We start from the raw sequence: 26,009 nt of genomic DNA, 5'->3' as shown, positions 1-26,009 counted from the left end.
CCAAAAAGCATGTGCTGGAAAGTTAATTTCCAGTGCAACAGTGCTGGGAAGTGGGTCCTAATGACAGGTGATTAGGCCATGAGGGTTCTGCCCTCATAAACAGATTTATGCTGTTATTGTGGGAGTGGGTTCATTATAAAAGGGTGAGTTTAGTCCCCTTCCCTTGCTCTGTCTCTCACTCTCTCGTCGTCTCACCTTCTGCCATGAGGTGACACAGCAAGAAGGCCCTTTCAAGATGCCAACCCCTTGCCATTGGACTTCCCAGCCTTCAGAACTGTGAGAAATGTTTCTTTTTATTTAATTTATTACCCAGTGTCTGGTCTGCTGTTATGGTAGCACAAAACAAAGACAGTTATTAGTTTAGCAAATAGTTATAACCATTGTGCATATATTTGTATATGCTGTGGGGTCTAAGGGAAAAGTGGTGGAAAGAGTACAGGTTTCATTTATAGATCAATTGTATTTAAATTTCTTCTAAAAATTATGACTTGTGACCTGGCACAAGTTGCATACCTCTGTGAGCCTTAGGTTCTTTATCTATAAAATTATACACAAGATTGTAAGGATTAAATGACATAACATGCTAAAGCACCCAGAATGGCCTAGCACATAGTGGAAACTCAATAAATGATAAATGTATACCAATTTAGCATCTGAGGGTAAAGTTTCCTTTTTACTTTCCAACTACTTAACCAAGAATGAAGACCTTTGTCCTCGTGGAGAAGAAAGCACTCTTTGTAGAGCTATAGCAAGCTCTGTGAAGTGAGCCTCCAACTCCAAAGGTTCCCTGAACCTCCCTAAAGCCAACTCACAATATCACATTAGTATTCATCCTGTTTGAAATTCACCGAGCTTCCTGAGCCTTTGGATCAAATTAAAAAATTTGATCCACAGTTTTTAGTCAAATTTGAACATTCTTCAGCTAATATGTGTGTACAGATATAGATATACACATATTGAAATGCATTGTCTTTCTTCTTTGCTGAAACACTAATTATACACATTAGACTTGTACTGTCCCACAGATCCTTGAAGTTTTGTTAGATTTTTTCAAACTTTTTTCTCTCTCTTTGTTTAAGTTTGGATGTTTTTATTAAGTAGTCTTCACACTCATTAATCCATTATTTCTATTGTATCTAATCCATTGATAATCTTATTAAATGATTTTTAAATTTCGGATGTTAAATTGTTTTAGTTCTAGAATTTTCATTTGTTTTTGTTATTCTTTTCAGTTTACAAATCTCTCCCAGAATTTCTCCCCTTTTCATCAACTGAAACCATATTTGAAATAATTGTCATGATTATTTTAAGGTTCTTTTATGGACCAGCATTGTAGACCTATTTCTGTTAACCAACTTTATCGTTTTATGGACACATTTACTTGTTTCTTTACATTACCAATACTTTTTAATGGCATTTGGGATATCACAGATAATACATTGTAGAGGTTCTGGATTATACCATATTTCTTTAAAGGGTGTACTGGGAAACTTTTTCTATAAAGGGATATATGGTAAATATTTTAGGCCTTGTAGGCAACCTTTGGTTATTGGTATTTCTTCCCTTTCCCTTCCTCTTCCTTTTCTTCTTCCCCAACACTTCCTCTTTCTTTTCTTCTTCCTCTTCTCTTTCCTCCTCTCCTTCCTTCCTCCTCCTTCTCCACCCTTTAAGAATGTAAAAGTCTTCCTTATCTTGAGGGTCATACAAAAATAGGCCATGGGTTTTAGTTTGCTAACTCTCACACTAAATAGAGGTCGTTTTATTCTAGCAGATAGCTAAATTATAGGCAGATGATTTTGAACTTGTGGGGTTTGGTTTCACAATTTGCTAAGTTAAGCCTGTTTTAGTTTTGTCTCAAGTTGAAGAGCAAATAATCCCTTAGTCCTGGAATGTGGTCTTTACTTCATATGTGTAACCTTTCTGGAATTTCAATGGAAAACTCACAGTGTTTTCTAAGCCCCTCTAATTTGGTTGAACTTGAACTCTAAACTGTTTCTCTGCAGTAGGTAGCAGCTGAAATATATGATCGGTTTTTCATCCTTTCAATGTTTTTTCTGTGGTTTTCCTCCCGGCTTCCCTGGAGTTGCTCCCGTGCACAAGCAGTCAGCCAAGGATTTTAGGGGATATTATTATGCAACTTTTGAGGCTTCCCCTTCTGTGACTCCTCCATCTTCCCCTTCTGTGATTCCATTTCCTGGAAAGGAAATTCCTAATTTGACTTCAATAAGAAGGCAAGTTTCATTTTGTTTTAGTTCTATATTCTAAATATTGCGGGGACCAGAGAGGGCCTCTGGGGAAAAACTATAAAACCCATGTGACTCTCTAATTTCAAGGATTAATTCACCACTAGTTTCTGTCTGCTTTTGATCACTCTTTAGTGCCTTTAAATTTTTGTTTTTAAAATACTTTGTACACAATTTATAATTGTTTTCTGAGGATGGGTTCATCTGATACAAGATATTCTGTTATTGTCATACTGGAAGTCACTGCAATCATAACATTTGAAATTCCATTACAATTTTACAAAGAAAGAATAAAAACTATATACTGAAAGAAGCAGGAATGATGATCAAGGGGTTTAGACAGAGTGTTACCTGGTCTGAACTGTGTTTTAGATTCATCTGTCTGGTGGAAGAGTGAATGATAATTTAAAAGAAAAGTGAGAATTCAATGCAGAGAGTCCAGTTAGGGGAATATTGCAATAATTCAGCTGAGTGATATCAAGGGCTAGGAGGTAGATCTATATGACAAAATTTGGACTTGAGCAATATTTAGGAATTACAATTGACTGAATCCAGAGATTGACTAGATGACAGGGGTGAGGTCTAGCATGCTTCCCAGATTTTGTTTTGGTGCCTAGTAGCTAGGGGGAACCATCAAGGACACAGGGAACATAGGAGGGTAAACAAGTTTAGGGGCAGAAAAGGTGAGAAATTTGTATTGTGTCACACATACACATCCAGGATAGATCTATAAATAAGACAGATGCCAAACTCTTTACTCAGCATAGATTTGCTTTGAATATTTTTAGAAAAAATGAAACAAAACTGTAAACAGTATTTCATAATAATATATTGATTACCAGGGCTTCACATTCATTATCATTTCCCCTAGTACTGTTGGGTTTCTAAAATATATTCCTGGCATATTAATACTGATCAGGACATAATTCAAACATTCATTTTTAATATTTTTGTTTCCTTCCATCCCCTGTAACATTCATTATACGATGAAGTAAGATTGGTCTGATAGGAATTGTTGGTATGGGACCATTTTTCAGTATCTTTCTCTTATCAATAACTTGTACAGATACAGAACATATATTACATATTTTTTAAAGCACCACATAATAAACATTGACAACCCTCCTATGCCATGAATAGATTAATATTCTATGTTCTTTTGGTAATTCTTAAGATAGAATCTAGCTATGTAAATCCATTAAGTTTTTTGTTTGTTTCAATTATTATTACATAAAATACATAAATTGTGCATACCTCTTAGAAAATATATGTCGCATAGAGTATATTCTTTTTGCTGTATAATTCAAACTACTTTGCACTCAAATTTTCTCAATCTGAACTTTTTCAAATTATGCTAAGGAATTTAATATTTATACACAGATCTTTTATAGAATGTTAAATATATAAACCTTGGATTTCTTCCTACTTGTGGGGGTGGCTAACTAAACTCTGAATGAAGATGGTTATTTCACAAAAAATACTGTGAATTGAGCTTACAGCTAGAGGTGACTTAAAAAATTAAATGGCTTCTCAGCACTGAAAGACTAGTTAATACTAATAAAATCATTGAACAAGAAAGACTCTGAATCATTTATTTTTTAGTCTTTGATAAAAACAAAGCTCTATGCTTAAATTCCTGGAATCATATTTGTTTTGTTTTGTTTTGAGACAGCATCTCGCTCTGTTGCCCAGGCTGGAGTGCAGTTGCACCATCATGGCTCACTGCAGTCTCAATCTCCCCGGCTTAAGTGATCCTCCCACCTCAGCTTTCCAAGTATCTGGGACTACAGGTGCATGCCACTATGCCTGGCTAGCTTTATATTTTTTTGTAGAGACAGGGTTGCACCATGTTGCCCAGGCTGGTCTCAAACTCCTGGGCTCAAGTGATCTACCCATTTTGGCCTCCCAAAGTGCTGGGATTACAGGTGTGAGCCACCAGGCCCAGCGTGGATTATATTTTTGGTTTTTAATAAATACCCTTACTTTCAGGCTATCATCTTAATTCCTCGTATCCATTGACCAGCTTCCTTTTTTTTCTTTCCCCTTTGCATTCAATCAATCTACGGTAATTGACCCTTTAGCAATGTCCTGATTCCCTCCAGTCCTCCCTGTGTCCTCAGCTACTATCCTAGTCCAAATTGCAACTACTTTTCATAGCCTCTTACCTGGTCTCCTTACATCCTAACTCGCCCCTAATTCATTGGTCACATTGTTGCCAGTGGTGTCCTTTCCAAACTTAAAGTGTAATAATTATAAAATAAAAAAAAAGAAGACCTTCAATGGCTATTTTCCTTAGGAAAAAAAATTACAAATTCCTTAATATGGCTTGCAATTTTCACCCCAATATGACCTTGTGTTTCATACTCATCTCATATCCCCTTCACCCTGTCCATTTGAATTTCAACCATTCTAAGTTTCTGTCAGTTCCATGTTGTTCCACCATGCTCTCATTTGCACTAGTAAATGAATGCTTTCGTGAGTACTTCAAACCTCCTTCTACCTCTATTCCTTCTTTTCATGACTAATTCCAACTCACTCACCCTTCAGGCACTTTTGAGGTGGCACTTCTTCCAGAAGTCCTTTTCTTTACTTTTCCTTGATACTAGAATATCCTGAATTTCCTCTGTCATAATATAACCCAAACTTTGTCATAACTTCTTCTCTAATTAGCTGACTGATTCCATACTGCAAGCTCCATAGGAGCAGAAACAGCGTCTTACCGTCTCTGGTTATCTAGCATTTAGTAGATTCTCAATAAATATTGTATGCAAATTGTCCCCTCTTTTAAAAAATCTCTTGAAGACAAACCTTTTACTATTCTACCAGATTTAAAGACTTAGATTCAGAAATTAGATTCTTAGACTTAACTTGAATCCCATTTGTACTGATTTGAGCCTCATCTGAATCTCCCTGGTTTCAGTGGGAAAAGGGGAGCCTCCTGACATCCCACCATCATTATCTCTTTTAATTATATCTAAAGAGGCTGAAAAATTTGGGGAATGTTTGCCAAGTGAGAGTATGTAGACTATTTTTCCTCAATGGACAATTGATCAGCATCTTTCAAAAATGTCCATTGAGAATTATGACTTGGTTAAAATGCCAAGTCATGGTCGACTAGGCTGAGATCCATACACACCAACTTGTGTCTGTAGTGAAAAATCAGAAAGAATCCCACTTAAAATTCAACACTGAAAGCAACTTTGAAAACAGCAGCTGAATGAGAGCAGGGTTTATTCATTCTGAAAGCCACAGTGGTATCCCAACACTTTCACTCATGGTGATTCAGGCAAGAAGCCTAGTGGATTTGACGTTAGCCACATGAAAGTGTCATCACAGCTCTGCTTCTTGTGGTAGGGGCTAAAAAAGAGCAATTCAAAACAGAAATAGAAATAACAAGAGCAATAGAAATATGGTTGATGAAGCCTGCGTGGCTGAGATGGAAAACTTGCATTTGCAGCTACAAATTTAGAACGGTTGCAAAGTACACAAAACTCTTCACTCTTAGATTATCCTGTTACCAGGAATTGACTAGACAGGTATAGAGCAGTGTGGGGTATAGAAACAATAAACAACAAGGGTTAGAAATATAAAAATTCAGGACACAAGTGAAGGGCAAATCCAGACTAGTACTGACACAGATCCCTACTGTGGCCACAGCTGCTTAAGAACATCACCTACACATTTGAAAAAGAATTGATTGTTAATATCGGAGCACATAGCAGTTATATTTTATAACTTCTTTTTAATTTGTTATATATTTGTATGCTTGAGAGACTCTTAAAACAACTCAAAGACTCTTATGAAAAGATTTCCAATGGTCTTGAAGAAAATTGGAAACGCCAGTCGGTCATCAATTTATTATGTTCATTACATTTAGATATTCCTGAAACTTCCTGAGATTGATGAACTGTTTCAATTTTCTTTCAGATTTTGTATTTAAATTGATCGTCTTTCAAGTATTTCACATAGATGGGTATGTTTAGCCTCTGTACTCCAAACCAGTTGCCAATAAAACATGAAAACAAGGACAGATTTGAAAACTGGATGTGGAAATAAAACTCTAAAAGTGATAGTCCCGGTTCCCATATTCCATCCCCACCCCAACCGCTGCCACAGTCTAATTCCCGCACCATCTTTCTGATAGGTAGCGGTAAATGGAATCCAAGTTAAAAATTTAGGAAAATGTAAGCATGTTTTTGTTTTATTCATAGCCCTCCCACTACTCAAAAAAAGTGAAACCTCTAAATAATTAAGACAATGTGCTGCATTTTTTCCTGCTGATGGACAACATTAATTCCTTATGATAGAATAAAAAGTCTGAAGTATTTTAGGGGAAATTCTCCATAAGCTTTTAAATAAAGTGTTTGTCAATGAAACCTTACCTCTAAAAGTTTGTTTCCTCTAATGAAGGGGCATAATACTGCTCTGTACAAGAAAATGCTAGCATATATATACATATATATATATACACATACATACACATACGCAATACATATACATATACATATGCATATACATATGTAGTAGCTTGTTGAATGAGCATCCTTTAAGACAGTGAAAAAGATGGCTATCTGCTTGGGAAAATAGAGCATTTAGGATGCATGATATATAGATATAGATATTGTGTAATATATTATATATTATATATGTCATATAATATAAATAATATATATTATATAAAATACATTATGCATAATTAAATATTATATATCTATATATGTATTTATATGGACATATCTATATATCTATGTATATTATATCAATATAAACATATTGATATATATAAATATGTTGATATATATAAATATGTTGATATATATAAATATGTTGATACAAATACACATGCATGTATATATATATTTAAACAGATTCTCAGGGTCCTAGTAATGGTGATGGCTGACAGACATCTTGAATGGACACAATCATCCCTCTGAACCTATCTAGAGGTGACATCCAGCCTTACCTCCCTGAAGTACAAACAAGTGCCTTTCAGGGTTAGAGACTAGTGCAGAAGGGAGTCCTGTGGCTAGAAATGAAGGTGCTCTGTCAGCTTTTTACAGGTAAGGAATGCTTGGTCCTTGTTTTCAGCAGATTTCCCTCCACCATGGTGACTGCCTGGATAGAGAATAGCTGAAAGCATGCGAATTAACCAAAGAGCAACTGCTGCCCTTGATGTTCAAGTAAGCTTTTCTAAGATACGCTTCCTATCACTCAGTACTAACCCACTCAAAGTGGATTCAAAATATTTTCTCCACAATTGGTTGTTCTAGAGCTTTATTTTAGCTATCATATTTTATATAGCTTTCATGTCTGATTTTAGTAGTTCTCTTGAAGAAAGGTATACAATTTAGAGATCACATTAAAGGAAAGACTTTTACCTGGGTATTGGAAGGGGAAATGTATCCAAAGAAACAAGAAGGGGATAAATATTTATGCTTCATTTACTGATGTCTAATCATGTGTCTGTGGAGCAGAAACCTGAGATTCCTGATATTTGGCTTATGAGCTTTGGGTTCCCCAGTGGAAATCTCATACAGCAATTTTTTAAAAAAGGTTTGGATCAGAGATCCCTTATGAAAAGTTGATAAGTATAATAAACCCTCTCCCCAGAAAAAAAGGGGATCCCTTAAAATTCACTGGTGGGCCCTAATTTAGAAATCTATTCTATCAAGTGTAAAGGAAATAAAATGGTATAGTTAAATCTTGGTAGCATAGTTATTCTTTCTTGTCCAAGCACGATAATCTAGGTTGAGCTTCTGCAAATATGAACTTCTATAATAATCGATCTGGCCTGCTATAACAAAATACCCTATACCGGGTGGCTTAAATAACAGAAATGTATTTTCTCACAGTTCTGGAGGGTGGTAGTTCAAGATCAGGGTGCCAGTACATCCTGTTTCCTCCTGGCTTGTGGAAGGTGCCTTCTTGCTATGTCCTCACAGTGGGGAAGATCGGAGAACTGAAGCAACACAGTAAAGGCAAGTAAGGGCAAGCAGCCCTTTGTAAAACTTGTTGATGTGATTTTTTTTGCCTCTTGCAGAAATACATTGAGAAAACCTGCTTCTTTAAATCCAGACTTTGACAAAGTTTATAAACAAAAGCCAAGAACTATCTGTGATTAGTAATAAGGTCCCTGAATTAAAAGAGGATGACCTATCACAGATTAGACTGTGTAGACAGGAAAACACTAGATTATGCAAGAGAGGGAACAGATGAGTCTAGAACTATTTTCTTGGCCTCAGTGGTCAAGATTTATCAGCTCTTTCTTAGGGAGGCATGTGTAGACATATCTTTTAGAGTTAACTGAGTGAAAGAATAAATGATAAACCATTTTTGGATTTTATTTTATTTTTCATTTTTTATTTTTGAGATGGAGTCTCTCTGTCACCCAGGCTGGAGTGCAGTGGCGCAATGTTGGCTCACTGCAACCTCCGCTTTCCAGGTTCAAGCGATTCTCCTGCCTCAGCCTCCCAAATAGCTGGGATTACAGATGTGTACCACCATGCCTGGCTAATTTTTGTATTTTTAGTAGAGACGGGGTTTCACCATACTGGCCAGCTGGTCTCAAACTCCTGACCTCAAGTGATCTGCCTGCCTTGGCCTCCCAAAGTGCTGGGATTACAGGCATGAGCCACTGCACCTGGCCTTGGATTTTATTTATAATGTAAATGTTTTCTCATTTTTTTACTGCTCTTTTTTTGTTGCCATCAAAAAGTTTTTAAGTTAATAAACAATTTTAGTAGTCACATAAGTGTGCTGAGGTTAGGTAGACCAGAATGGAATATGAGAATTATGACTCAGGTTTCTTGAGTAGGTAAAAATTTGTTAGGAGTACCTCCAATAAATATCTGTCTTTAAAAGTCTAATTTATTTCCAAGCTATAGGTTGCATTTAGAAGACTGGGACTCCAATTCTGGGCTCTCTCTCTCTCCCTCTCTTAACTTCCCAGTGCCTAATTCTCCACAGCACAGGAACACTTATATATTTCTGGGACAAAGGCAAATATATGCAGGCTCCTCAGGTTAACACTGGAATGAGATCTCCTGACAGGAAAAAGGAAGCCAACGTGTTTTAGCAATCGCTTTTCCATAATAAACTGTAATGCTTTTGCAGAAGGTGGGTCCTGACACAAGGCTTTTTGAGGATTAAGTAGATTTTAGTCATCAAGCTTGATTCCAGCTAGGGCTTTGATATGTTTTCTTTATGTCAGATAATATATGTTTTTTTTTTAAAGAAGTATGATTTCTCTAGGGCAGATGTTTGATGGAAATTTATGGGCAAATTAGATCATCACTGAACTGATTTATTCTCTTGGTGTGTAACATTTAAATATTGATTGTGAGAGTCTCTGCCTTCAAAGAACTTATAGGCTAGTTATTGAGACACACAGCAAATTACAATATAATGTTGAAAATGCTATCAGTGCAATGGGAATCCATAGCAAGGGGTGCCTCAGTAAGATACTTGGGGGTAGGGGATAGGAAGACTGCAGCTTGGGCAGCATCTGTGTTGTCCCGGTAAAGGGAAAGTTATTAGTAGGTGAAGGACCTTAAGAGTGAAGCTAACACAGCCTTGGTGCTGAGGTGAAGGGTGCACACAACTAATACCTAATGATATGTGATAAGAAGCGCAGTGAGAAGTGTGGATCAGATTAGATACCTGGAAAATAGTGGAGAACCAGAAATTATTGAAAGATTACTGTTGATCCCAGTGCTCTTCAGTATAGCTTCAATGCACTTTCAAGGAGATCAGTGTGCACATCAACTTCCTTCGTTTGCCTGCACAGAGACTTTCATCTGAGTGGGCCAAAGTTAGACTCAACCATTCAGGGCCTGAGATTCATTTCTTAAGACCAGTGCTGTTCAAGAGAAATATAATATAATGCATGCCATGTGAGCTACATATGCAATTTTTTTTTACCAGTCACATTAGAAAAATAAAAAGAAACAGGTGAAATTAATTTTACTAATATACTTCAACTCAATAGATCAAAATATCTCAACAAGTAATCAACATAAAAATTGAGATGTTTTGCTTTTTGATACTGATATATTTTATATATATGTAGATATATATATAGGTATTTATACTGTCTCCTAAATCCAGTGTGAAGTTTTACACTCACAGCACATCTCAATTCAGATTATTCACACTTCAGATACACAATAGCAACATGTGGCTGGGGGTTACTGACAAATTAAAGCTACCCAGACCACTCCCTGCACAAGAGTATAACTGTGTTTTGGTTCATCTCTTCACCAGTTAAGGATGCCGAATCCTATGATGTCCTAGAAATCATTCTGTTACTCAGGCATTTACTCATTCATTCATGCCCTTGTTCTTAGAACAAACATTTATTGAGCACCTCCTATATGTGAAATACTTCACTGTGAGAAGGGGAACATTGACCATAAAAATGAATAATACCATCTAGTATCAGAAAGAGAGGCGGAAACAAATATTCACAAGATGTTATGACAACAGTAATAAGTGGAGCAGTGAAGCAGTGATTGTCCATGGAATAGGAAGTGGATATGCCAGAGTTTATGCTGGGGTAGGGGTGGGGAAGGGGAGTTGTGGGTGTTTCAAATTAAACTCATACCCTGGAAATTTCAACCTCACAAGAGAGAACCATTGTTGCCTCACCCATAGAAAGCCCCTTCTCATATAAAACCCCACTGAGACAGCATTACTGATAGGATCATGCCAAATCCCAGGGGTGCTAATGTGCAAAGAAGGTTGCAGGACATTGAATTAAGAGGATATGCAAATTTCTATGGGACACTGGGGGGATTCTGAAGGACTTCATTGAAAAGGTGGTATTTTTGTTGCATTTTGAAGGATAAGTTTATCAATTTAAAGAAGAGCATTCTAGGAAGAGGATACAAAGAATACAATGTGCAAAGGCACGTAAGTGGGGAAGGAGGAAATGTATTATGTTTAGTAAACAATAAAGATTCATATAACTGCATCGTAGGGTGGTGTGTGTGTGTGTGTGTGTGTGTGTATGTGTGTAAAGTGGGTTAGACATGTTTGATAATATAGTTTGGGACTATATTTTGATGAGTAATGTGTACTCCATTAAAAAGTTCTCACCCTGTGTTTTAGGGAATTAACATTATTTCTCCCCACAATCAATACTTTCTTCATAGTCAAATTCAAATTTCAGGAAAATCCTTGATTAGAATTATATCTCTTTGGCTTCTCTTCTACCCCTATCTCTTTTTTTCTGGACAACTGAATTTTCAGACATTAATATGAACCAGTGACTGAAAAACATTTCCTCTGTCAACTAATTTATCTTCTTACTGAATGAATAATCAAATTCAATTGGATTAAACAAGCTGTAATACCACTGTCAAAAGCCATTAGCAATATAAGAGCTTCAAGCCATAAAGAACTATTTTTGTATATCTTAGAGTTTTCTTCATGAAAGGAAAAACTCAAACTAAAGGAAATAATGTGTGTCATTACAAGCTCTGAGTCCTTTAGGGTCTTCTCATCAGCTCTGTGGTTTATTTATTTTTTCTTTTCTTTTTGTCAAGATTAAGAGTAGTGCTGTCTACTTGATTATCTCAAAAGTACAATGTTTTCTTGGCAGGATTAAAAACCTGGATGTATCAAAGCTTGCACATTATTCGAATTTTGAAATAAAAAACAATGAGGGGACATAATGAAAACCAAGGAGGAGGGGTGGGGAACTTGATACCCCCTTCTTCCTTTTGAGAGATCATTTTATCCACTTCCTGGAGCTATTGTACCTTCCCTGAAAGAATGACACCTTACATTTCCTAAATTTGTATCTCGGCCAATTTCCTGCAGATATACAGGTAGAGAGGTTGGCTACTGTAATTGACAAGATGTCAGTGACTCATGGGACTGTCAGGAATACAAAACATTGGCAAAGCTACATAAAAACTGTAAATGAGCCATAAATGGACCTACACTTAAACAATCCTACTGCCACTTTCAACTGATCATTTTTCTTTAAAAAATACTATTGCAGACTAAAGCGATGCATGATGTGTTCTATTTAATAACTTTACTAAAATCCCAAGAAACCAGAGGCTACTTACGCCTGCCTGGTGCATTTTCCAATATACATACCATCACTGCTACAATGGTCAATCAAGCCAGATAGACAAAATGAAATATAAACCCTGATATGGCTTGGCTCTATATCCCCACCCAGATCTCATGTCGAATTGTAATTCCCAGTGTTTGGGGAGGGACCTGGTGGGAGGTGATTGGATCATGGGGATGGATTTCCTCCTTGCTGTTATCATGATAGCGAGTGAGTTCTCATAAGACCCGTTTGTTTAAAACTATGTAGCACTTCCCCTTTCCTGCTCTCTCTCCTACTCCTCCATGTAGCACATACTTGCTTCCCCTTCACCCTTCCGCCATGATTGTAGGTTTCTTGAGGCCTCCCAACCATGCTGCCTGTACAACCTGCAGAACTGTGAGTCAATTAAACCTGTTTTCTTCATAAATTACCCAGTATCATGTAGTTCTTTATAGCAGTGTGAGAATGGACTAATACAAACCCATACCACATTTTCCCTTCTCTTTTGAACCTGATCATCTCAGTCACATGATGATCCTGGGTTGAAGTAAATGAAAGTAGAAAAAAATACATAAGAGAGTTTTACTGCCTCATAAGACTTCATTTCAAAAACTGCTAGAGGGCAATATTAAGAATAACAAGGGTGTATCAATCAGGCACTCTTGCTCTCCAGTGCCTCTGAAAGATTTTCTCTCTTGTGAAGTTTAGGCATAAGGATGTGAACTCTAGCCTTAACTGAATCCTCTTGTATTAGAGATTTGGGTAAATCCCTCAAGTTTAATCTTGACCTTTGTTTGGAAAATAAATGGTGGGTCTCCAGTGACAACTTCTGAGAGCTCAGTTTACAAGGAGCTCTGTCAAGGATCCTTAAACACTACACATTTATTTCTTGTGAGAAAATGCTTTAACTCATTGAAGCACAGGGGAAATAAGTTGTTGATAGACCTTCTTCTTCCAAACTGTGTCATGGCAACAACCCTAGACAGGAATCTTGCTTAAACAGCTCTGTTTATCTTCCCTGCCCTGCTCAGCACTGGAATCTTGAGCATAATGGTCAGTTAGAATTTTTCTGACTTGGCTTCTCATCTTTGATGCCTAAAGGGACCTCCTATACTCTAGACTTTATGAACAATACAAGAGTTTTAGTTGAAATAATTGAAACTGGACATTGGGATGGAAACTGTATAGAAGTTATCGTACCTTAAGCATAATTATTTATAAACTCTAAATAAAATAATTGTAGGTATCTGTCAAAATTTCTAACCCTTCCTTTCCAACAGTTAGCCAAGTGTGTGTCCAGTTTGGTTTCACTTGGGATTCTTTTCCTTTGTTATCTATAGCCCATTTATCTCCATAATTCTTGCTGTCCCCAACTGACCTTCATTAAAATGGTCATTTCTTTTTATACCTGTTTGTTAGCAACAGCAAAAAAAAAGAAATCTTGGTTATTGAATTATTTTACTTAGATCTTGAAGTGTATTGAAGGAAGGTGGTGGTCCCTCACACTGTTGGCCTCAAGACCCCTCCAGAATGATTTGCCTTTCTGTCTCTCTGGATCTACTGTTTTTTGCCACTCTTGGGCATCATCTGACTGCTATCTTCCATTCAGTCTGTTCTGTCTGCAATCTCCGTAATAGTAGAACTAGGCGGAATTGTTAATTCTGTTCCCTTTGGAAGGAAGAAAAACTTCCAGACTGAGTTTGAATTGAAAAGTGGATCTTGTACTTGGTAGAGAAATGGACGCCAAGATGGCTTCTATGTAAATACTATCAAATTTCTTCCTGCACTGCTGGGGATATTCAGGGCTATTATTTTTTAAAAAATCATATGTGACATCTGCAGTGTCACAAAGCATTTTAAAGAACATCCAGACATACTCCCCAGAAGCTCTTAAAATGTATAAAAGAATTTAATAGACATATTCTGATACTTTAAGAAGAAATGCATGGAGCATGAAATCCAGCAAACTTCAATAATCAATCAACACAAATACATTTATTGAACACCTGTATCATACTTCCATTGACTTGCCTATATCCTATTAGCAATGATGGATTATATACAAAGAATTATTTTTGCTGTTTGTCATATCATCATTTGTCATATAAGGTGATTTTCATGCAGTTCATGCACACTTTAAAAATGCTTACTATTCAGGTTCTGTCAGATAAATATGGCACAATAAAGAAAACATTTAGAACACTGATAGCAGAGCATATATTTTTAAGATAAATTAGAAGCAAGTGTGTGTGAGTGTATACCTTTTAATCAAGAAGGCCTTGATGTTTCCCTCAGCTTGACTAAACTTGACAGGCTTCTCTCAGATTCTGAGCCCCTGACTTCTTTTTTTCCTAGAGCATTTACAAAAGAAAAAATTGTAATTGTAAATCCTTTCTCTGCCCCTTTGAGATGTAAATATTTTTAAAAGCCTCTTGCCTGTTGTACTACTCAGGGAAGTCTTTCTCAAGTTGCTGGGAGCCAACCCTTTGAAATGTAATCATCATGAAAAATAGCACCCCTGTCTACCAGTCTCTAAGGGAGAGTAGGAGCCTAACTTCAATGGGTGCCAATTAGCCAGCAGAGATGACCTAATCACAGAGAAAAGTATTTTGCAAACTCAGTGTGCTTCACACAACCCAGTGATCAACCTGCCCCCATCCTCCAGTGTTCTCTAGTTCCCTTCCACTAGCTCATACCAGTCCCTAAAGTTCCTCCCACCCCTTGTTATAGTGGAGTTGAGCAGGCTGATTTCTGGCCTCTCTCTCCTATTGTAATTGTCTTGAATAGCATTTGTCCTTGCTGCTTAACTTTGTCGGATGCAATTTTTGCTTTCACAATATGTATGTATACTCACCTTCATATAGCTAACATACAGCTACAGATTGAAAGCCACTCGGAAAAAACAAAAAAAATTAATGCCTCATAATATTATAGTCTCTAAAGGGTTCAGGTTTATGTATGCATTCTGGGGTACATATTTTATGAGAACATATACCACTATTTTGTTTTTAATTCTTGTGTTGCCTTTCTATCTCACTTGTCTATTTTCCCACAGCATTTATCATTACCAACATACTATGTATTTAACTTATTTATTTGTTATTTTCTATCTTCTCTGCCTAGAATGAAGCTCCATGGGAGCAGGGATTTTTATGTGTTTTGTCCACTGCTGTATCTTCAGTGCCTAGCTCATGGAGTTGCTCAATAACTATCAGTTGAATAAATGAATGAATTAGCTATTAGTACTTTTGTTATTGTTAGTATTAGCTTCTGTTTTGTCTAGGAATTCTAAAAGCTAACCCAAGATTGAGCCAGAAGGCTGCAGACTGCTTCAGAGTGGGCTCTTTTCAGGGTTATTTTATACAGTCACACTCTGGTATGTTGTCATCAGCCTATACTGAGGGAAAAATGCATGTATTGCTAGAATATTATTGAGGACATTATTCATTATTTTTGTGATGTCCTCTCTGTGCAGACCAATAGTGAAATTTCTCTCTGCTGTCAGTTTCAGAATGTTTCAGGCCATTGGTTCATTTTCAATTTGTGGATACTAGAACTCCAGTAGCTGATGGTGTTTTCTTCCTTGTGTCAGCTGCCAGAAAGCATAGAACAAAATGTGTGTTCTATCGCTAGCAAGGATGGCATTTACGCTATGCACTGATCTTGTCCTTACCTGTTTGCTTTGCAACTTTTCTTTTCCCTTTGCCTTACTTTAGTTAATTATCTTAAATTCATGTTATATTTGTCTCGTGTCTTCAAAAGTCCTTTTTTTGAGATGTAAAAGTTGATCTAAATTTTAGTAACATTAAAGTTTGTAAGCTTTTTATTAACAAAATTACTCTAATGGTGATAATAGTAACAATTTAGTATTTAGAAATGCTTTCCTAGATATAATGTATTCAGTTCTTACACAAGTAATGAGAGACAGGCAGCTTAGGAATTGTATTTTCATATAGTAGCTGGGGAAACTGAGGCATAGAATGATCATGTGATTTATCCAAATTTAAATGGTTAACTAAACTGAGGAAGCCAGAGAGAATCCAGACCTTTGAATTGTTCCTCCAAATATCTCACCTCTGGTTGATATTCCTTCACTTGGTTCAACTTTTCTGGTTAGATAAACATTTTTCACATTATGTCTGGCTTAGCAGTACTTCCGTTGGATGACATGTAACTTCCATTTTTGCCATGGAATTGCATCATTTATGAGTATTTAACTTAGAGATAGACTTGAGAATTAAATTCAACTGCAGAAACAGAATAGGGCCTGAGCTCTGTAGTCAAGACTGTCTGCGTTCAAATCCTAGATCTGCTAATTACTAGCTGTAGAAGCCTATGAAAGATGCTCAACATTTCTGTGCCCTAGTTTCTCATATCATCTATAAAACGGAAATGAAGATACTAAGAATACCTATGTCATTGGATTGTTTGGAGAAGACAATGAAAGGATACATTTAAAGCTCCTAGAACAGCACTGGGAACATAGTAGGCACTGAATAATTGTTAACTGTTTTCTTAGGCTAGGTCCCAGGGAAATGAGCCAAACCTCAGCTTGTGTGCTAAAATATAAGACAGTTATTTGCAACTGTGATTCCAGGGAAGCAAGAGAGAAGAATAAAAGAGAAATGAGGTTGGGATAAAAGTAAAGAAAATGCAAGGTAGTATGTTTTTAAGCTGGCCATAATGTCATAAGAAAACAAAGATGAATGCTTAATCTTGTGGGACTTCATCTATGTAGGCTATACTGAACCACTGCATTCAGGGACAGTCCATTGAGGACAAAGGAGTAGAAGATATATATATTGTCTGCTTAATCCTTCTTATCTTCTGTTTCTCATTTATCAAAGTTCAGTCCATGGAACATTAACTCTCCTCTACTTCTAGCAGGTTGTGATACCTGGCCAGATCTCATGTCCTCAGATGTAGCATAGCCTCATCAGAGCTCAGAAGTATAAAGAACCAAAGACTTTGTAAGTTTGGCTGCCTGGGATGAGCATCAGAGCTGCTGCAATTTCTGCCATGGGGAGTGCAGTAAAGGCTGAATATGAACCTATATCTCATCCCAGGGGAGCTGAAACAGTTGCTAGTGTTAAGAGGTACAGGGGTGTTGAAGGTGGCTGGGACTCTTCTTTAAGAAAGTGGCTAAAGTCCAGGGACTGGCGAGGCTAAGAAAATCTAGGTAAGTACTAAATTAGGTCCATTACTACCATTACCTCCTGAAATCTTCTGTAGCAGACACAGACACGCACTGTTCAGATGTCCCTTCAAGAAGGGACTTGCTGCTATGATGAACTCCATTAGCTGAAGGCCATCAGCTATGATCACCTTCACAGTCCATCTTAGTTCTCAAGTAAAAGGAAAACCCATCTGGGGGAACTCTGGAATAAGCAAGGTGTTGGCGGCCAAGGTTTTATACTTCTCAGGATAGCTCTGGCCAAAAATTGAGCAAGGCAGTGGTAGCAAGGACTTAGCCTTTTCCACCAAGCTCTTGATAACATTACCAAGCAAATCTTGCTCTACAGCCCCGCTTCGGCCTAGACCTTGTCAGCCTGCAACAGGTTTGATGGCTATCTCTGCCCAATCCTGCCTTCTTTTCTTTCATTTCACCTCCCAGTAAATAAACCTTTCACATTTCTTGATACATCACAGGGTCTGCTTTCCAGGGAAGCCAATCCCAACACTTCCCTAAAGCAAACACATATATTAATAGATATTAATTATATGAAGGCTAAATCCTAAAATAGAAAGGAGGAAATACTTTAGTCAAGCAGAAGCTACTCGGGAAAATTTTAATACAAATGAATAGTCATCAGTGTATATTTACTATACAAAAGGGCCAACCATAGGTTCTTATTAGATACCAATAATGTATTCAAAATTACCCCAAAATTAATTTTAAAAAGCTTAGAAAATATGACTATGAGGAAACAAAATTTTTCTTATTGTAAATTATATAATATTAACAAGAACTGCCTTTTTGAAGACCTATGTGCTAGGTATTGTGGTAATCATATTATATATACTTTCTTGTTTAATCTTTGCAGTAACTGTGCTATTTTCTCTTGGTTTAGACAATAAAATCAAGGCATAGAAACTAAGAAAATTTTCAAAGATCTGACAGAGGCAGGATTTAGATCTAGATAAGATCTAGGAAGCTCAGATTCTTCACCATTACTTTATAATAACAGCTTGCAAATGCCAATGTTGTACATGCACCAGGCTGAACACTACATGTACTATTTAATCCTCACAATAGCCCCTTAGAGCAAGGGCCGTTGTTATCCACAATTGAGGTCAAGTGACTTTGTATGACTCAGGAAGGTTAAGCCTAACAGGTAAAAGAGTTGGGGTTTAAAACCAAGACAATTTTATTTAGGAACTTATCACTATTCTATGCTGCCTCCATCAGATGTAAATAGTTTGCCCTTGACCTGCAGTAATCCATCTTACACAAATCCATGGTAAGAGCATTATTGGTTATACTCAAGTTAAAGTCATCCACAGTAAAACTGAGAACTGCCTGTCAATTATGCTAAAGGACATACTGTACTTCCTTAACTTGATTCTCAACTTAGTGTTGACATGGGGGATCCTATAAGTCAAGATTATTTACCTATTAAACCTGTCATCTGCTTTTATAGAAATTCAAGTTTAATTTGTGGTAAGCCCCAGAAAGCCATGCATGCTTTTATATGCTTAGAGATTTTCCAGGTGTTCAAATGATAGTTAAGACCGATAGACCAGTCTTAACTTTTCACTGAAACATTTAACCAGAATGGTCTCTGGGTCTGAGTCTTTCCTATTTGGGATGTAACAGGGAAACGAGTAGACAGAATGTCTGTCTAACTGCCATTTCTCCAAAGATCACTGTCATGTCTCTGGGTCATTCCTCAAGCTGTTCCCTTTTACTAGAATTCCCTTCGCTCCTTTTACTATTGGACTTAAATCCTTTTAAGTCTTGAAGATCTGGCTCAACCCTTACTTTTTCCTGTGAAAACTTCCCAACCCTTTTCCTCTGGACTACAACTAACCATACTCTTTGCAAGAATGAGTAACTTCCATGCTCTCACTTTTTTATACCTCTATTCCAGAATCTCTCATTATGTATATGGTATATGTACATCCTTCATTGTTGGTTCTTTGAAGGCAAGAGCCAAATATTTTAATGATTCTTGAACTTGCTGTGCCTAGTGTAATTTGTACATATGGGTGCTCAGATTGTTCCATTACTATTTAAGAGTCAGAATATTCAAAGGCATAAGAGAAACACTACTTATCTAACCACATTCTATAGGACTGGAATTTCCAATAGGCATGTCGGGAACAATTCACTAACCACAAGTCAGGAAATAATTTTTTCTGGGACAATGTGAGGGCAGGGACCACGCCTATCTTATTTCACAACAGCATCTCCAGCTTCTAGTGTCACATCTGGCACATAGTAAGTTGCTGATCCAACACTATGAAACTATTGTTTTCACAATACTGCCATAGACACACTATGTACACTTCCACCAATACATTATTACTATGAGAATGCCCTTATTTTAAAAATTACTTTCCCATGCCAAACTAATTGGGAGAAACTCTTAGTTTAGACATTGACTTGGCAACCTACTATATCAATGTACACACAAACTTCTTTTTTCAGGCTCTCCATGATGTAATTTTGTAACAATCAAGATTTCCATGACTTTTCCACTCTCCCATTCTTTATTGGCTCGTATTACAACTAATTGTAAAATAGAGTTCCTGTAAATCACTCCTTTATGTGAGCACTGAAGAACAGCCTAATGAACTAGTGGGCTAGGTTTACTTACCTCACTTAAATACCTCTCTTTGTCTGGCAGCTCTTCCACCACTACATTCAAATCGAGCATAATTTGGCCAGCCCTCCACAGCTGGGGAGTCTTTTTATGCTTCTGAACACAAATTCAACCCTTTACACCCACACCCACCCACTCATTTGCCCATGTCTTTTCCCAGCCTAAACTTCATAATGGATCTGATGCCACATCTACAATGACCCTTTCCTTCTCCCCTGAGGGTCCTCATATATCCTTCAGTAAACTCAGTGCCATGTAATTGTTGAACAAATAGGTAATGAATCAGCCTGCAAGTGTGGATGGTGATAGCTTGTTTAAAGTGAGAATGAGGGAAGGGCCCCAGAGAAAATAAGAAAGGTAGAAATTTGCCAGAAGTCAACTTAAAAAAATAGTGAGGAATTTTCATCACTATGTTCTGTTAGTACAGGTTTTATCTTCTCCTCAAAACATACAGCTTTTCTCTTTATAAAGTAATTTTCTACATGAATATTTATAGCAACGTTGTTCATTATAGCCAAGAGGTGGAGATAACCCAAATATCCATTAACTGATTAATGGATAAACAAAATGTGGGATATTCGTACAATGGAGTTGTAATTGGGCCTGAAAAGGAATGCATTACTTCTTGAACAATACATAGGACAACAATGAGGAATCTTAAAATCACGCTAATGAAGAAAGCCAAGAATACACCACACGTTATATGATTCCATTTATATGAAACATCCAGAATAGGCAAATCTAGAAAGAAAATAAACTAGATTAGTGCTGGGGAGGATGGGGTGATAGGATGTTGATAGCTAAAGGCACAGAGTTTTCTCTTGAGTGATGAAAACGTTCTAAAATTGACTAATGGTGATGGTTGCACCTATTTGTGAATATCCTAAAACTACTGAATTAGACACTTTAAACGGATGACTTGTATGGCATATTCATTTGCAAGGGCTGCCATAACAAAGTGTACCATAGACTGTGGGTGGATTAAAAAACTGAAATGTATTCTTTCACAGAATGGGAGGCTAGAACTTTGAGATCAAGGTTTTGGCAGGGTTGGTTCCTTCTGAGGGTTATGAGGGAAGGACCAGTTCCAGGCCTTTCTTTTTGACTTGTCATTGTCTGTCTTCTTCCTGCCTTCACATTGTCTTCCCTCTATACATATCTGTATTCAAATTTCCTTTTTTTATAAGGACAGTAGTCATATTGGATTAGAACACCATAATAACCTCATTCTATCTTAATTACCTCTGTAAAGACCATATCTCCAAATACGGTTACATTCTGAGTTACTGGGGCTTAGGACTTCAGCATATAAATTTGATGGAGTGAGGAGGGGAGGGACACAATTCAGCTTATAGTATAGGGTATGTGAATTATATCTCAATCAGACTGCCACAAAAAGAAGAAAATTTCCCCTAAACTTTGAGCCTGCTTCTTAGATAGGACTGACCTGGGTAAGAAGCAGTGAAGTAAAGAACACACTTGTTTTCCATAGAGCAGTCCTCTGTGGCTTCTGTGATTGGTCTGGGATCAGTTTACTTCTAAGTCCAAAGGTGCACAACTACAAGAATGCAGTAGGAATAAACCAAAGTTCATATAATACAGCCTATAACTTGAATCCAATAACTGACATTTCACTTGGCCTACACCATGTTTTCACAATTTTTGAATAGAATCTCTGGATTAAATGCATGCAGGCATATTCCAGCTTGCCATAGTCCCCACCATTGCCTACTGTCTCATCCTTAGCTTGCTTCACTCATTTGGTAACTGTCTGAAAATTTGAGCTTGAGGCCACAGGAACAAACACATTGACAGATTACAACATCTCTTGGCACATCTAACACATAGCATTATTATTAAAAATGGCTGTTTCATAACTTCCTGATTAAAAGTCACAGTGCAGAGGGACACTTGCACAAGAGTTCAGATTCAAACTTATTGTGTGGAGTATGTTTGTTGGACTGTATGCAGCAGTTATAAATATAGGCAAGATCTAAATCTGTAAAAAGTTCAGTTATGAAGGGAGAATTGGGTAGTTGGAGGTTTCAGACATAAGAAAATGATTATCCTTTAATCTGTAACTCTAAAGGTCTTTAAAATGAGAAACTAGCGTACATTCAAGACATTTTCCTTCTGTAGTTTAATAAATCATATGTATGAGCAAGTAGTAGAGGACTTTGTTGTGGTAGAGCTACAAATATTTGGATATACCACGGGTTCCATTATTTTTCTTCAATAGAGAAATTTCATATGATGAAAGAGTTATGTATCTGGGTTAGTTTGCACTGGTGGTTTACAAAGTTAAGTGCACCAGCATCACCTGAAAGGTTTTTAAAAATAGATTCCTGGACTCTGTCCCCAGAATTTCCCACACAGTTCGGTTTAGGGTGATGCCCCCAAATTTGCATTTTTAATAAGTTTCCAGATGATGCTGATGCTGCTGGCTTGGGACCATGCTTTGAGTGTCATTGATCTACACAATGAATGTGAGCTCTGTCCCTCAAATTCAGCTCAAATATACCGTCAAACTAATTTTTAAAACTTTTGAAAGATTCTGGGGAAGGAGTGTGACCAGTTTGTCAGTGCCCAACCCTTTGATCAGTGAGGCAGGTGAGTCTGTCTGGGGAAACACACAAGGCAGGCACGCTTAGCAGGCTAGGACAATGTCCACCACATTCTTTCTTTCATTAGGGGAGAATAGAGTTTTTAAAGAAACTCTTTTTTCTTTAGTGTTATGGAATCTTCTGCTTATTTTCTGTGTGATAACATAGTTTGAGATTGTCAAACTCAAGGGCTTGATCAAATGATTAGTGATGACTAGACTTTTGTGTTTGGCATTGTGATCTAGGAAATAAAGCACGGACAGATTACATTTGTGAAATATGTGATGCCCTGCGTGGGTCTTAAAAATGAGGGGGAAAAACCCAGGAGAAAAGGAATAATGCTACTCATTTGTTCTTAAAAGCTAGGCCTTATTTTATGATAGAGTAAAATTTTTTTTATAAATTTGGACTAATCTCAAAATTGTATTTCTTTAAAAATTTAGCAATGTCCACTGAAGTTTTGTTTCTATAGCTACTGAAAATGCTGAAAGTAATAATTATTCATATAAATTCCACATTTTTACATAGGTGCTTTGTACATGTTAACTAATTTGAGCCTTACAACAACCCAACCAGGTATCATTGTCCATAATTATCCAATAATATTATCTATTACTATCTTTTATGTAAATTGAGGCTTAAAGTGTTCTAGTCACTTCCCCATGGTTACACTTCCAAATCTGACTTGCTTCAGTCTGGGGTTTTTTCTACTTTTCCATACCTCTTTCACATGATATCAAAAATGTTGTACCAGATAGTTACAACAAGGAACTGACTAAGGACATGAGAACAGTAAAGCAAAATAGCGATCCTTGAAATTCTCAGAGATTTGTATTTCCTTGGAAATAGAGATAAACATTGGGATTGTTTTTGGAAAGCATAAGGCTAATTGTTGGGGAAAAAAGAATAACATAATTGACATATTTTGTTAACTTTTGCCCACATTTTTAAGCCAAATTTTTGTTACCTTGCCCACATTTGAGAGCAAAAAACTGCCGAGAACTGTGGGGAAGAAAAAAAAAACACACTGAAAAAAAGATATTTATGACTAAAATTTTACAACAGGATAAACTTATTTTTGCACTAAATCCTTAACTTCAAAGTAATTTGCTATATTATTTCATTTCTGCTCATGCATCCAAGTTTGCATTTCTTCTTTTATAGTTCCTGACTTTAGGTCAGATAAAAGCATACATTATTTTTTTAAGGCTGAGAAAACTCAGTGGCATTTTCCCTGCAAGACTCAACCACAGGCTGACTGAGGGTGATGTCAACTCCCAATTAACCATACAGGAATAATGTTTACTGTTGTTAGACTTAAATGTGTGCAGACCATATCCTGTCCTTTAAATGACACACTCCAGTAGTTAATTCATGCTGATGTATGAAAGACGTAAGAAAATAGCCTCATGTCACCTTCTGTTTGCATGTGAGCATAAATGTATAAATCCATCTTGTATCTGCCTTGGTTTCTTTGCTAGGTGATTCTACTTAAAGTCTACAATTTCTCGGTCCAAAAGCATCAGGATCCAGCTTGACTCCTCTTATTCTCCTCCATGCTATGACCTATCTATCAGCGTATCCTGTCAGCTTTAGCTGAAAATATATTTGAAATTTGACCATTTCTCGTCACTTCGCTGCTTCTCTTCTGGCCCAAGCCACCATCATCTCTCATTTTGGGTCATTGCGATGACTCCTGACTGAATTCTCTGCCTCTGCCTTTGCCTCCTTGCAGTCAATTTCAACAAAGCAGTGGCTCCTCTTTCCCTCTTTGAGCTCCTCTCTATGCTCCAGCTACACTGGCCTCCCTGATCTCCATGCAACCCTTTCCCTCACCTTCTTCAGGTTGTTGCTCAAATGTTGACTTCTTTTCTATAAAGTTTTCCTTCACCACCTTATTTAAAACTGACCACTACCTGTCTCCCTGACACTCCTTTTTCTACTTTATTTTCATTACTCTGGTCATCATTTTATATACTTGACCTATTCTAAGTATTTTTTAAAACATCTTTCTTCTTCCTCTGGAATGTAGGCTTCATGAGGGCAGGGATTTTTTGTTTGTTTATGTTCATTGTTGTATCCAAAGTGCCTAGAATTGTGCTGGACATATAGTAGGCTCTCAACAAATGCCTGTTAAATTGAATACCTTTCAGACAAGAGTTACTTCCCACTGCAATTAAGACACCTCAAGTGAATATTTATTTTGGAACAAAGCCAGAGATTAAAAGAAACTTCCTGCCATCTCCCCTGGACTAGCAAGCAAATTGACTGAATATGATATGGTGTGGTATGGGAAGGTGCAGTGTGGTGTTCCAGATCAGGACAGCAAACACTCAGGAACACTTTTGAGAGAAATTATGCTAGTCCATCTGCACCCTGGTGTCCCATCTCTGCAATGCATTTATGAGTTGGATGGTTAGGTTAATGGCTTTAATCAGATCATGAAAGATAATGAGTTTAAAATTTAAATAGATTTAGCCATATCTCTGTCTTTGGAGAACTATTTTTGTACTAAGCAATCAACTGGTCACTGATACCATTGATTTAAAGGTGGTATTAAACACTGGGCATCTGATTTAGATCTAGAGAAACCGAGAAGAAACCATCCCTGACAATGCAATAGCATGTGAGTAAGATGTAGGTAAAACGGTGATTTCCCTAAGCAGAAGTCTGTATGTTAGTTTCATGGGTACATCTGTGCTATGCATTCTACCCACCACAAGGTCCTGAGCTGCCAGCTATGTCCCACGACTGCTAAGTGCCAGCCTTCTTGATCCTGTTGTAAATTGTCACAATCACTGAATAGGACCTTTTCTCTTTTAAAAGAGGCATGAGTTTTTGTGCTTCATAACTCCTAACAGACATGCCAAAAAGCTTAATAAATTATGCTGAATCAGAAGCAACATGGACTGCCAATTCACACATGTCAAAGGTTTCTTAGCACTACTTAAAGTTTGCTTTGACTACCCAAGCCTATGATGGTGTGAGTTTCCAGCATGTCTGGAATGAAAGATCTGGCAGAAAGTTATTTGTTTTCTTTTCCTTGACAAATATCCCCCCTACATTTTCCTGACCTTCCTGACACTCATTATGCCATGCCTCATCATGTTTAGGCCAAGCAACATCCCACATGCTGAAAAAAAATCCAACAATTTTAAGAAAAATAGAGGATTAGGTATCTTGTAGAGGTTGTCCTGAAAACTCAAATAAATAGCTGGTAGGCACACAGTTTGCTATGGTCATGGGTGCTAACACTGAAGGCTTCTGCAGT

At 37.1% G+C, this 26,009-nt stretch overlaps 1 long non-coding RNA gene across 1 annotated transcript in view, besides 2 other annotated features; it reads left to right on the top strand.

Annotated features, from left to right (window-relative positions):
• Nucleotides 1–26,009, top strand: part of LOC107987026 (uncharacterized) — a 69,939-nt gene that overhangs the window by 938 nt on the left and 42,992 nt on the right. The gene's annotated exons all lie outside the window — the stretch shown is intronic.
• Nucleotides 6,525–6,669: an enhancer, noted in NCBI's record as "145 bp 9:21760452 sequence used in MPRA reporter constructs". NCBI's record gives its function as "activates a minimal TATA-containing promoter with rs11384803 allelic activity by MPRAs in C283T melanocytes {active_cell/tissue: C283T}" and the evidence as "EXISTENCE:reporter gene assay evidence [ECO:0000049][PMID:36423637]".
• Nucleotides 6,593–6,596: a transcriptional cis regulatory region, noted in NCBI's record as "rs11384803 or 9:21760452 MPRA-significant variant associated with a GWAS melanoma risk locus at 9p21.3". NCBI's record gives its function as "allelic transcriptional activity by MPRAs in C283T melanocytes {active_cell/tissue: C283T}" and the evidence as "EXISTENCE:reporter gene assay evidence [ECO:0000049][PMID:36423637]".

This window comes from Homo sapiens, chromosome 9, assembly GCF_000001405.40.
Source record: "Homo sapiens chromosome 9, GRCh38.p14 Primary Assembly".
NCBI lineage: Eukaryota > Metazoa > Chordata > Mammalia > Primates > Hominidae > Homo > Homo sapiens.
Note: the sequence above shows the minus strand (reverse complement) of the source record. Positions and strands in the feature narration are given on the sequence as shown.